Source organism: Homo sapiens, chromosome 11 (assembly GCF_000001405.40).
Source record: "Homo sapiens chromosome 11, GRCh38.p14 Primary Assembly".
In the NCBI taxonomy this organism is placed as follows: Eukaryota; Metazoa; Chordata; class Mammalia; order Primates; family Hominidae; genus Homo; species Homo sapiens.
In genome coordinates this window covers 86,190,698-86,204,806 of record NC_000011.10, presented here as the reverse complement: position 1 = coordinate 86,204,806, position 14,109 = coordinate 86,190,698, and the positions used below count along the sequence as shown (strand labels likewise).

Here is a 14,109-nt window from a genome sequence, read left to right as displayed (position 1 = left end):
AGAATTTCTTGAACCCAAGAGGTGAAGGTTGCAGTGAGCTGAAATTGCGCCACTGCACTTCAGCCTGGGCAGCAGACTGAACACTCTGTCTGAACAACAGCAACAACAAAAAGATGCTAAGCTGTGCCTCTGACCCTGCATTTTTTCCTCTTTGCTATGTCTTAGTACTTTCTGGTCATGTTTCATATTAATTATTTCTGGTTTCCTGTCAGCTTTGAATTAATCCTAGCTTTGTCCCCTGGGCCCTCACTTTCAGATCCTCTCAGTTCTATTCCATGCATATTATGGGGAGTGTCTTACCCTACCCATAACCACACCCAGCTTCTGTAAGTATAATCCCAGAATGGCATCTGAGACCCCACTTGCCTGGCAGAGGAGTTTCGATGTGTTCCATAGCTTTGATGTTACTATTCCTTACTTTAAGACACAAGATGCTTTTAGATCTGACACATGTTCATTTCACTAGCTTGTCTCCTGCCATTCCTCAACTAGGATGTTATGGATCTGTCCTATTGAATTTCTTGAGCAGTTTCTGGAGCATGTAATTTTATTTCCCATCTCAGTTTTTGCACATGGCACATTTCCTTCTCATAAAAACCCTTGCTCCACCATCCCCAATTCTCCAGCTATCTCCTCCTCTTAACCTCAAAGCTAGTTTCAGGGGTCGCATCTCCCAAGAAGTTCCAATCTCACTTAGATGCTTCTCCTTTAGGCTACAGTGTTTATGGCACAGTAGCAATTGCTTTACTTATGTGTCTCCCCCCTGCTCCCAGATTTTGAAAGAGGTTACCACATTTTATTCGACTTTTTTTTTTTTTTTAAACAGAGTGTCACTCTGTCACCCAGGCTGGAGTGCAGTGGTGCCAGCTTGGCTCACTGCAATCTCTGCCTCCCGGGTTCAAGTGATTCTTATGCCTCAGCCTCCCAAGTAGCTGGGATTAAAGGTGGGTGCCACCACACTTTGTATTTTCAGTAGAGACAGGGTTTCGCCATGTTGCCCAGTCTGGTCTAGCATTCCTGAACTCAGGCCATCTGCCAGCCTTAGCCTCCCAAAGTGCTGGTACTGCAGGCATGAGCCACCATGCCCAACCTTTTATTAGACTTTCTATCCTATCCCTAGCCTATGATAGGGACTCATTAAGTGACTATTGAGTAAATCAGTGAATGAATGAATTAATGAATAAGTGAATATATTGCCTAATACGTCTACTTAAAGCCTCTTAGAAAGCAGGTGTGGTATGAATTGTAAACAAACAATAGTACTACAATCTTAATATGGAGGGTGAAAAATAGAAAGGTCTTCAACAGATAATATTTTTTTCTATTTATATATGTTCCTTTTTTTCTAGATATGAGCAAAAGTCTGAGTGCCAATTGCTGAATCAAGATTTACCCAAATGTTACCAAAACCAATGGCAAGTTAGTCAAATTTAGGACTCATCAGTGAGTTAACAATTATTGAGTATCTATTATGTGCACATCACTGTTTATAAGGATGTTGTGATTTAGTGAGGGAGCATATACAAAAATAACCCTGAGGAAGGGCAGACTGTAATAATCAGATTAGAGACTCAAACCACATTCTGTGGGATTCAAATGGAAAAAAAGATTAATTCTTATTAGAAGTAATGAAGTCAACAATGTATGGGGTGGGCACAGGCTGTGAAAATCAGGACAACCAGCTAATTAATGTTGCACAGAATAAATGGTGAATTGCATAACATCTATTGCTTGTCAGCTGGTTGTTTTGCTCTACAACTGCCTTAACCTCTGAGTGACATGGAAGTGAGAAAAAGAAGGAAGTGCAGCAGGACTCAAAGGGGAAGAAATGACTCTTGCTAAAGAAGGAAGAGAAGTGGAACCAACCACAGGGAGGAGAGATGGGGTAAAAATTGCTTTGAGGCCGGGCGCAGTGGCTCACGCCTGTAATCCCAGCACTTTGGAAGGCCGGCCAAGGCGGGCGGATCACGAGGTCAGGAGATGGAGACCATCCTGGCTAACACGGTGAAACCCCGTCTCTACTAAAAAAAATACAAAAAATTAGCAGGGCGTGGTGGCGGGCGCCTGCGGAGGCTGAGGCAGGAGAATGGTGTGAACCCGGGAGGCGGAGCTTGCGGTGAGCGGAGATCGCGCCACTGCACTCCAGCCTGGGCGACAGAGGGAGACTCCGTCTCAAAAAATAAAATAAAATTGTTTTGATTCCGTTGTAGCATTTCCTTGAGTCTCTTCAGTTCTAAGAATAGGGAAAGGAAGAAAAGAAGAGAGCCTGTCATGGAACCAAAGGAAGACAGCATCAAAATAAGGAGAAAAGAGCAAAGAAGCAGAAACAACTTGGAATTATGCCACAGAATTATGCCACCATACTGCTGCTTATAAAACGTTCATACTGAAAACGTTTTAGTGACGGTACAAATAAAAAGGTGGAGGAGGCATGGTTGTAGATAACGGTCTAAGGAAAAAAGTGTGTTACTATGGTTATCATTAGAACTTTTCACAAATAGTCCCACTCTTCCCATTAATGTACACTGGGGGATCAAACTGCCACCTCCTTTGAGGATTTATATGGCTGTGTGGCTTGCATTGGCCAATAAAATGTGAGGGGAAGTGACAGATATGTAGAGTGTATGAGAAATACCTTGCAGCCACTGAGATTTGGAGTGTTAGTATAAGCTAACCTGTCTTTACTAATACAGTTACCCACAAAGAAAAGGAAAAGATTGCTAATATTTATGCAAAAAAAAAGATTGAGAGAGATAAATTTGTAGGACAGGTCAAAGGAGTACTATAAGAGTTGGATTTAAGTTAGAAATAAAATGTAAAGCTAAATAGTTAAGCATTATAAAATGTGTAATAATTTCTTTCTTCTAATTATTGTATGTCTTTCTCTTTGTAATATTCTTCTTCATACACAGCATCTGCTTTTACAGTTTCAACTACTGCCTCAGTGTGAACACTTAGAAACTCATCTATCTGTTTTGACAATAATATTCACATTTCTAACTGCCTACAAAAATGTACATATTTTAAAAGACTCCCAGTACAACTGTTCACACATGTTCATGTCTAAGAATGAAACAATGAAACTCCCTAGAAGACCAAACCTCCCCCAAAAAAATTCCTTTCCCCTTCCTGTTAACAAAATCTCCCCTCAAGCTTTGCTAGTTAACTTAGATCACTTCCTCCTTATTCCTCTTTATTCAATCTCTGCTTCAAAATGCCTCTCAGATTTACCACTTTCTCTACTCACATCTCAGCTACCCTAGTCCAAATGTATTTAACTCATAACTGGACCATGGTCATAAACTCCTCTCCTCCTCTCCAATATATTCTCCCACCCCTCCATCCTGCCCACTCTTTCCAGACTAATCTTCTCTCCACAAAGATCCTCTGTGACCCCTCAGCCTGTGTCCAACAGCATTCACCATAGCCTGCCCCTCCAGGCCTCTCCCACTGCTTACCAGCTGCTGTGCTCAGGCTGGCGTGTTAGGTGTTTGCTGTGCCGTGAGCCATTCTGCTCATTCCTCCTTCCTTATTTTACCAACATTTTTACCTCCAACTCTGCAAGTGCTCTCACTTTCATCTTCCCAGTAAAAAATCCCACACATCTTTAAAGCTCACCTTATATCCCTTTTCCTCTTTTCCCAGAAGACTTACTCAACAAATCCCACCCAAAGAGATCCCTCCCTTTCTCTACCCACATAGCACTAGTCACAGAGTTTAAAGTTCTCTGAGAAGTCATATAGAACAATCCTTCAATTTTATAGTTGAGGTTGAGAGACTTGGTTAGTCCTGCAACCAGTTAGTGACAAATAAAACTAGAATCCAGATGTCTCGAATGCATTTTCTTTCCCACTGCATTTTACTGCCTTTTCTTTGTTAACTGCAAGATGTTTTACAGTTTAATCCTATTCAACCTTATATTTTGTTTAGTGTTTAAAAATCATGTATCCTTGATTAGATCATAGGCAGCTTAGGTGCAATGATGTGATGCAGGGTCTATATTAGATAAAAAGCCCTTATTGAGGGGGCATTTAAGGCTGTCGTTCACAGTAAGGTTTAATGTAGGGCCAAACCATTAAACTAATATGTTTTGGAATAATTGGGAATCAGAGCCAGGAACACAAATCAAACCAAGGAGAAAAAATAAGAGAGTAATTTAATGTCAGGAGCTTAGAAAACCAGAATCAAGAGAAATGAGGAAGGTTCCAGAGTACAAACTCCTTGGTTGAATTATAGGTGGTTCAAGAGAGGTAGGTCAATAGGGACATGTTCCTACCCAACTCCTAGAACAGCGGGTATAGGAAGAAGAAAATGGATCCTTACCAATATCCCCACAAGGCTCCTCTGTCTAGCTAGAGAAGATGACCCTAAAAGGGGACACCAAGCATAAGAAAGCATGATTTCTAATTATAGAAGGTCTTGCCAGCCAGAGGGGCTGAGCAGGGAGGCCAGAGCTGCTCAGATCCAAAAGGTGCTAAGATGCCCTTAATTGGCTGTTGGCGCAACCCCATAATCCTCCTGAGGCAGAAGGATTGCTTTAGCCCAGGAGTTCAAGTATTTGGTGCTCCCATTGCAGGCTTCAGAGTGTGGGCTCATCAGAACCTATCCCTCTTGAACCCTGGCCCAGGCCCCTGGACAGAGGCCTATGCCTCTTAACTCCTGTCCTGGCTGCAGGACAACAGATCTAATCTACCAGTGATTGACTTGGCCTACCTGTGCTAACTCCCTATATTTTGTTAATATAAACAGCTTAGCATGGAGTATAAAGGATATTGCATGCTTTTACCCCACTTTTCGTGTCCAGTTTTATTTCCCAAGGTATCCCTTTACTTATCTTACATGATAGCCATCCAGGCAGCCACAATTCCTCACATATAATATACACTTTCAGGCCTCCTTGTGCTGTTCCCTCTGCCTAGAGTGCTCTTCCTGTTCCCTTCCCACTCTATCTGACTGACAAGAATGTATTTATGTTTTGAGATCCAACTCACATGCTTCTGCTGCAGTGAAGTATTCTCATATCCCCCCTAATCAGAACAGAGGAACTCATTCCTTTCTCTAGACTCTCATAATCAGTTACTTGTGTTTTTCTTACAGCACTTTTTAAAAAATCTGCTTTATAGTATGGTATAGTTTTAAAACTTCGCTGTATTATATTCAAGCACCTTGAGAAAAGGGACTATGTCTTAATTTTCACTGTACCCTCACAGGACCTAGTCCATCCTGTTGAATAAACATGTTGGGCTAGGCCAGGCATGGTGACTCACATCTGTAATCCCAGTGCTTTGGAAAGCTGAGGCAGGGGGATCACTTGAGGCCAGGAGTTCAAGATCAGCCTGGGCAACATAGCAAAAGCCTGTCTCCACAAAAAATAAAACTAAAATAAAAAACTAGCTGGGCATGGTGGCATGCACCTGTAGTCCCAGATATTTGGGAGGCTGAGGCAGAAGGATTGCTTGAGCCCAGGAGTTCAAGGTTACAGTAAGCTATGATCCCACCACTGCACTCTAGCCTAGGTAACAGAGAAAGACCCTGTCTGCCTTAAAAAAAAATTAATAAAATAAAATATGTTGGGCTAAGTCTTGAATTGTTGTTTCTATTTTTTAAACAAACTATTTTTTAGAGCAGTTTTAGGTTCACAGCAAAATTAAGTGGAAAGTCCAGAGAGTTCCTATGTATCCTCTGCCCCAACACACACATGGTCTCTCCCACAATCAACATTCTGCCTCAGAGTGGTACATTTATTACAATGAATGAACCTACATTGACACATTGTTACCACCCGAAGTCCATAGTTTATATTAGGCTTCACTCTTGGTGCTATATGTATATGGATGGGTTATGACAAATGTATAATGACAAGTATCCACCACTATATCATACAAAGTAGTTTCACTGTTCTAAAGATTCTCTGTGTTCTGCCTATTCATCCCTCCATTCCTGCTAACCCCTGGCAACCAGTGATCTTTTTTACTGTCTCTGTAGTTTTGTCTTTTCCAGAATGTCATATAGCTGGAATCATAAAGTATGGAGCCATTTCCAGTTGTCTTCTTTCACTTAGTATAATTATATGGATTTAAGTTTCCTTTATGTCTTTTCATGGAGAATAGAGAGAATGCCACTCTTTTCATGCTTGATAGCTCATTTCTTTTTAGTGCTAAAAAACATTCCATCCTCTGAATGTACCATGGTTTATTTACCAGTTCACCTACTGAAGAACACCTTGGTTACTTCCTAGTTTTGTCAATTATGAATAACGCTGCTATAAACATTTGTGTGCAGGTTTTTGTGTAGACATGAGTTTTCAACTTATTTGATTAAATACCATGAAGCATAATTGCTGGATCATATAGTAAAAACATGTTTGGTTTTGTGAGAAACTGCCAAGCTATCTTCCAAGGTGGCTTTGCCATTTTGCATTTCCACCAGCAATGAATGAGCTTTCTTGTTTCTGCATATCCTCACCAGCATTTGGTACTATCAGTGTCTTGGATTTTTGCCATTCTAATAGGTGGTAGTAGCTCACTGTTTTTTAAATTTGCAATACCCTGATGACATATAATGTTGAGCATCTTTTTATGTGCTTATTTATCATCAGTTTATCTTCTTTGGCAAGGTACTATTCTCTATTTTTTACCTAAGAAAAATAAATACATGCCAATTTTTGAAACAATATACTGGTTTACAAAGTAAAAAGTTGAAGTTCTCTCTCTCTCTCTCAATCCCACTACCCAAAAGTAATCACTGTTAACATTGTCTTCATTCAAGACATGTTTCTATGCATTAACATACCTACATATGTATATTTTTATGTACTCATTTGATTTTTCTTTTAATAGTATTTTATGAGTTACTTTTTAAATATATGTTAAAGGTATATTACTTTACTATATCCTGGAGACCTTTCAATGTCAGTAATGGGTGCAGAATATGCCAGAGGATGAATGTGCTATAAAGTAACTAATGAGTTCCTTATTGGACATCTATGTTGTTTTTTAAAATTTTTCTTTCTTTTTTTAACCTTTAGGCAATTCTGTAATGAACCACCTTCTGTATATATATACATATCTCTGTACAACAATGCCAGTATATCTGTGGCTGGATTCTTAGAAATGGAATTGCTGAGTCAAAGATTACATAATTTAACAACATGATAGGAATTGTCCTCAAACTGCCAAACTGTGCACAAAAAAGGCTGTTCAAGTTTACACTCCCATCAAGTGTTAGAGAGTAGTTCAGTATTCAGAGAAGCCATAGAAGTTTTAAATATGTGCTTCAGGAGCTACTGGGGAAAACAAGGGAGTAAGAAAAAGGCTGGTAGTCCACACAGCAATCTCCTTTCCTCTTCAGTGAGAACACCTCTCCTTTGATCAACATTATTTATTCGGCTTAGTTTAAAATTCCTCTTGAGGAGAAGTTTCTGGGACTAAACATTTGAAAATATTTGAAATAAAAAAATTACCTGTTTTTAAGTGACAAAAATTATTAATTTATAAGTTACTTAGGAATGTTCTCAGGTGCAAGTAACAGATGACACAAACACAGCAGATTGAATCGGCGATGGTACAATTTTCTCATGTAACATAAATGCAGCAGCTGCATTTGTTGGGTGGCTCAGTGGCCTTTTGGGCTTTTCCTTCATGGTTGCAAGATGGCACTACTCCAACTCAAGCATCATGTTTGTATTCAAGACAGAAGGAAAGGGAGACGGTTTGTATCAGTCACTCTGACCCTTTTATCAGAATTGCATAAGTGCTCTTAGAAGCAGTCTGCTTCTCCCTAAGATCTTTGCTCAGATGTTATTGGGCAGAGCTTTTTTGTGTGTGTAGTGTCTAATGGTTGCAAGGGAGGTTGGGAAAAATGATTCTTTTTTTTCTGGCTTTTATAGTGGAAGCAGGCAAAAGATTAGTTGGGTGTAGTTGTTGGGTTAGCCGGTCATCATGCTCTGCCCCTAAGTGCTCAGAATACTGAAGACTAAAGATGCAATGACAAACAAGATAGTCCTTATTGTTTTTGTTTGTTTGTTTGTTTTTTGTTTTTAGATACAGCTATAATTTTATTACAAAACTGTTCTTTTGGCATTAGTTAGTTACAGTGATAGCAAGATAATGTGAGTGTGCAGACTGGCTCTGATGGAACCACTGTATTCCCTGCTTACTGAACCAAACTTCAGCTACCTCATATCCATTACATACAAGTGACCTGCAGTTATTACTGCTACAAATCTTGACGCGTGTACCGCTGAGGGAGGAGCTGATGCTAAGGGATTTGATTACATGTTGATAAGACTACAAAAGTTCGTTTATGGGACTTTTTCTTCCTCTTCCCATGCAATGACTTTGCTTTAGAACAATCACATGGCTTAGAGCTAGTCTGAGTAGCAGCAGCACCCAAGGAGCGTCAGTTCTTGTTAAAAAGCAATACCTGTGTGATGCATTTTTACGCCACAGGCAAAGGGAAGGATCACCCTCATTTTAAACTCCTGCAGAGTCCCTTAATAAAATATCAAAGCATTCCATCAAGTTCTTCTGGGTGGTGTTATTGCTGTACATTTGTTGGTGAGTCATTTTCTGTGCTGTGTTTGCTTTGAAAGGATCTTCCAATTTATCTCCAATATTCCTTTCTTATCATGTCCTTTTCTTTAGCTAGGATTTCACATAACCCTAATGCATTATTAAGAATGTCTTCCTTATTGACACACTGGTTTTCTAGCATGTCTTCATAGATACCCACAAGAAAGGCAATTAGGTAGGGGGAACTATGACTTGGTTGTAAATCAAGTAATTGATTTAACAGATTAGGATATTTGGAAAGACCACGATCCTGCAAAATTCCTTTCAAATAGTTCCATGAACTATTATGTGGTACTAGTTGAATCATTTCCAGAGTGTATTGGACTTCTCTCTCCAATACAGCACAATCATTGTAGCCAGTGGTGTTGGAAATAACAAAATATCTTCGGTTCCAGACAGAGTTATTTCTCACATCCTCTTTGAGAAGTTGGTCCACATACTGCAGCTCATTATCCCAAAGTTTAAATTCCTGAATAACCCATTGTCGATGCTGCCAGGCATGATAATTCTTTGCATCCTGATTAAGAATATTATCAATAAATTCAGGCTCCTGAGATGGATCTCTTAGCCATTCCACTATTACTCGCCTATTGTGACAAACTAGATAGTTTTTGGGCTGCCCCTCAATTATTTCAGTGATGTAGTTCATTTCCTCATGTAGATCCTTCTGAAGTGACTTTAAGAGAACTCTCCGGAAATGTCACACTGTATAATTGGCTGCATTTAACTCAACAGCATCCCGGGTTAGCTTAAAACCTCGTTCGCTTCTTTCTTCATGCTGCAGGACAGCTCGGAAGTAATCAAACATCTCTAAATTTGTCACTATAAATGATCTGGACCACGGGATTGGGGCCATCATTCTGCGGCACTGGATCTGTATCAGCCCATTCTGTTCTGTCCCTGTACGGGACATAGGAGGGCGAATCCAGGCTCAGAAACCCGTCGTCCATGGGGGACGCCACGGCTTCCCCAGCCTCTGCTGCCATCTCTTCCTCGTGCTGCTCCTGGGGCAGCGGTGGGTGCGGCTGGGGCGGGGGCTGCTCCAGCTGCCGGGGCTCACCGCCTTGCGCAGCCTCCCCGACCCCCTCGGTGGCCGCCATCTCAAGATGGTCCTTATTCTTAAGGTGTTAACAAACAGAAGTGCAAACAAACCAGTTTTATTGCATATTGGTGCAATAAAAACATTATATGTCCCAATTAAAAATATGAAGAGGAGATATTAGAGGCCCAAAGGAGAGAATGGTTAATTCTATCTCAAGTGGGGAGGGGTGGTAGGAGATCAAATAAGACTGTATCCAAAAAGTGACATTTAAACAGAGTCTTGGAAAATAAGTAGATGCTCAGCGGGTGAAATATATTCTAGGTAAAGGAATGGAGGTTCTGAGGCACAAATCCATGTGATGCATTCCAGGAGCTGCAAGCAGTTCATTATGACTGAGGAGGAGGTTTGGAGCTAGATGATGACCCAGGAGACCTAATGAGAGATGAAGCTGGAAATTGATGCTGGGACCAAGTCACACAGAGGGCCTCCTGTGTTTCACAACAAGGACTCAGGAAACCCTCGTGATCTGGACAGTATCATTGAGATTGTATCACCTAAGCTGTCCAGTGCAACCATGAAGTGGAAAGCATGTGAAAAAAAGTGTAAAGTACCTGAAACCTTTATTGGATTGCCCTTTCACCTGGGTGCAGCTACATTTTAACACCCGAGTAGCCTGCACACTTGCTAGCCCTATTGGGTAAATACTATTGAGTCCTTAATAAACTACTGAGTTGTATTTGCCACCAACTCCTAGGGAAAGTTACTGCGCTTCTCTGGGCCTCAATTTCAACATCTATAAAATAAAAATTTACCTTCGTAGTATAGAATTTTACTTTTGTTTTCCCCCAAATGTTTTCAGATGCATGATTCAGGAACATTAGTCTGGTATAATTAAAGGGAAAACATCAAGAAAGGCTTTTGAGTCAGAAAGACCTGGGTATGAATCCTGGCTCTCCATGTGTTAACAGAGTTACTATGTGACAACTGCTTGAACTGTGGTTTTCTCATATACAAAATAGGGATAATGCACCTATCAGTGCCTGAAGCATAGCTATTACCCAATAAGTAGCACCGTTTTTATATTGTTTTTAAAATTTACATCTACCCTATAAGGTAGGTGAAATAGGTCTAATGTTACCCTAAAGTTGAAGATCCAGAGGCTTGCAGGTATTAGTAATTTGACAAAAGAGCAGCCAGCTAGATAAGTGGTAGAACAGGGCACAAATCCAAATTCTTATTCTTTTCATAAACGGTGCAGCTTCTTTCCTCCAAGCAGTAGGATGGGATTCAGATCTCTGTGATGCCTGTCAAGCGAATGATTTTACAAACAAATTAGATAGCCCCACACCTGCCTTAAATCTGAGCTCAGGGAACAGAAAGGCCTGGGTTATCTCATGCTTTATAATCATTTCTGGATGTGTGACTGGGATACTCTAGCCGTGTCTAGCTTTAGCATGACTATAACCTGCCAGGAGAGGGAGCTCATACTGACTCCATGCTAAGGTTACAGATACCCTGGAGACTTCAAGGGCTGCAGCACAGCGGGGGACAGGAAGGGTGGGGTTTTCCTTGTTACGGGTAACGACTACGCAGCTTTCTGGGAATGCATATTTTGGGAAAAACATTGACATTATTTTTTTAAAAAAAAAGGTGAGATTATGACACAGAAAGAAATGACCTTTACCAGGAGGAAGTAGAAAGAAAAAAAAGAGGAAGTGACTAGAGCAAAGCAAGACAAAAGGAAATTTGGCTCAACAGGGTAGGTTTTGTTAATGCTGCACTTTTATTTAAATAGAAGGTAGACAAATGAAATATTTTTAGACTTGTACTGCAGGAACATAAGAATGGAATGAATGTTTTAAAAAATATTCTGAGAACAGAATTAGCATGTGTCCTCTTAATAATTATTTCCCTATTTTGCTTCAATAAGTATTAACTTGCCATATGTCCAAACCCTGTGCTAGGCACTAAAGATATGGAAATGAACAATTGAGCTCTTGATCTCAAAGAATGGTCAGTACAGCAGAACAGACTTACACATGAGCAGTAAATTACAGGAAAGCCTGCCACCTTCTATGCTCTGGTTGCTAGTAGAGGACAGAGGAGAAAGCTCTTATATCACCATGGGGGAAGGTCAAAGAATATTTACGATAATTACAGATAATTTTTTTGTGGGCACTTACCACCTGGCAGGCAGTCTGCCAAGTGCTTTATGTGGATTATGTCATTTGAGCCTCATAATAATGCAGGTGTTATTCTGTGATTTTCATTCTTTAGATGTGAAAATAGAGAAGAAACTTTTCCAAGATCATAAGTGGTGGAGAGAAGTTTTCCAAGGAGAAAACCTGGGCTAAGTATTAAAAACAACAACAATAAAATCAGACAGAACTGAAAGAGAAGAAGAATGGTGAAAAGGGGAAATGGGGGAGAATATTCTGTGCAGAAATAACAGTATGAAAGAGGCTGGTCAGCAAGTGACAGCAGATTGCAGTGGAAAAATCACAAGTTGTTCAATGTTACTGGAGTGTTCAATGCATGTGGGGGGATAGAAAGAATTGAAATTAGAATGATAGGCATGGGTCAGATCACAATGGGCTAGCCATGTCCTGGAAAAGAGTTTGAACTTTATTCTGAAACCACTGAAGCATGAAATAAGGACAACAAAATAATAAGAATAAGAATATTGTTATTGTGTAGGCTGAATAATGGTCCCCCAAAGATGGTTTCACATCCTGATATGGTTTGGGTGTTTGGTGCCTCCCAAAAACAGAGCCCCATACTGAGTTTAATGCCCTGCTGTTGCTCTCTTGAAATTTTTAATAATTACTTTACAAGGGGCCATCCTGCATTTTCATTTTGCACTGGGCCTCACAAATTATGTAGCCAGTATTGCCTAATTCTAACATTAATCCTGAAAAACAAAAAAGTTATACTCACTTTATAAACCAAGAGACTGCAAATCTCAGAGAAGGAGTATAATCCATTAATAAATGCCTTGAATCAGGTAAATTCTGCTACTTGCCAGTCAGGGCCCCTAGGACAAGCTTACTAATTCCTTCCAAGCCTCACTTTCTTCTTTTGCACAGTAATTACAATATCTGCCCTGCAGAGTGGTCATGAATATAACATATGTAAAGTACTGACACAGTGCTAGCAGATCAGAGGGACTCAGATGGTAGTTGCTGTTGCTCAAAGTCCAAGACTTAGTAAGAGATGAAGAAGGATTTCACGCCTATAGTTTTCTTTTTTTTTTTCTCTCAGACTTGTATTTTGGAAGAGAATGCACAATGTGGGTTGGTGAAATGTAAGACCAGAGGCAAGAAGACCAGTTCAGAAACTGTGGCAATGTCATAGACAATTTCTGGAAAGACTGTCCATCTCATGCCGTCTCTTTTTTCTTTGATATTTGCCTCTAATACATAGAAGTCATCCTCCAGAGCTGTGTCCCCATCACATGACTCAAACTTCCTAAACTTCTTAATCTTTGTTGGTCCCCAGATTTCCCTAGAAATTTGGAACTTTGATCCAAGAGATGCAGAGGCTAAGCATTGTTGGAACCAAGTCTATTCGTAGGAGACTCTCCAGAGAAGGCCCAGAGCAACCTGCTTGCTGCTGAGGTCCCCGGAGCCACTCTGAAGCCTGCCTCTCCACAATGATTTCTCAGTTTCTCCTTTCATTCCACACAAGTATACATCCAATAAATCTTCTTCCATTCCCTTCTGAAGCAACGAGTTGCAACCAATAGAACCCTAATACATGTAACAATGCTAGAGTTATTGGGAGAAATGGTTGAAACATTAATCAAATTCGTGTAATAGGTTTAGGGAGAAGAAGGTGCACATTTAGGAATATGTAGGTGCAGAAGAAAGAGTTTGGAGTGCCTTCCACATTTCTGGCTTCAGTGACTGGGTTGATGTTGCTACAGTCATACAGGTAGGGCATATGGGGAAAAAAAGGAGTGATCGGAGGGGAAGATACTGGACTCAAGGTGCCTAGAGGACATTCAAATGGAGATATACAGTTGGAAACTAGATATGTGCTTCTGGAATTCAAGAGCGTAGTCTAGGCTGGCAATACATATTTGGGAATTTTCAGCATTTAAATTGTCATTACCGCCATGGGGGTGAATGAGATTGCCCAGAGTATTAAGTTAAAAAAGAAGGATCCAATAATGAAATCCTATATTTAATACCGATGTATAAGAAGCAGGTAGAAGGAAAGAAATGCTGAAAGGAGGCTTAGAAGGAATGGCCAGGGAGGGAGAAGCAGAACCAGGAGAAGTGCCAAATGAAAGGAGAACGTGGAAAAGGATATGATGTCTAAATCAGTTCAGCATCATTACCAGTGTCCTCTTCATCTACAGCTGAGGCTGCAGTCACGCTATCAAACATACCTCCTGAGCCTGCTCCCAGACCCAGGGAATTTTTTTTTTTTTAAAGACAGAGTCTCACTCTGTCGCCCAGGCTGGAGTGCAGTGGTGCGATCTTAGCTCAC

General features: G+C 40.4%; 1 long non-coding RNA gene and 1 pseudogene across 1 annotated transcript, besides 2 other annotated features; one reads left to right on the top strand and one right to left on the bottom strand.

Moving 5' to 3' along the window:
• Positions 1,596 to 2,096: an enhancer, noted in NCBI's record as "H3K4me1 hESC enhancer chr11:85913753-85914253 (GRCh37/hg19 assembly coordinates)". NCBI's record gives its function as "activates a minimal SCP1, AML or CMV promoter by ChIP-STARR-seq in naive H9 embryonic stem cells {active_cell/tissue: H9 hESC(naive)}" and the evidence as "EXISTENCE:reporter gene assay evidence [ECO:0000049][PMID:30033119]".
• Positions 2,097 to 2,597: an enhancer, noted in NCBI's record as "H3K4me1 hESC enhancer chr11:85913252-85913752 (GRCh37/hg19 assembly coordinates)". NCBI's record gives its function as "activates a minimal SCP1, AML or CMV promoter by ChIP-STARR-seq in naive H9 embryonic stem cells {active_cell/tissue: H9 hESC(naive)}" and the evidence as "EXISTENCE:reporter gene assay evidence [ECO:0000049][PMID:30033119]".
• Positions 8,036 to 9,676, bottom strand: FNTAP1 (farnesyltransferase, CAAX box, alpha pseudogene 1; annotated as a pseudogene).
• On the top strand, positions 11,309 to 13,339 carry LINC02695 (long intergenic non-protein coding RNA 2695). The gene is made up of 2 exons (XR_001748524.2): positions 11,309 to 11,374; positions 11,893 to 13,339. It is a non-coding gene; the product is annotated as a long intergenic non-protein coding RNA 2695 (long non-coding RNA).
• The last annotated feature ends 770 nt before the right edge of the window (positions 13,340 to 14,109 follow it).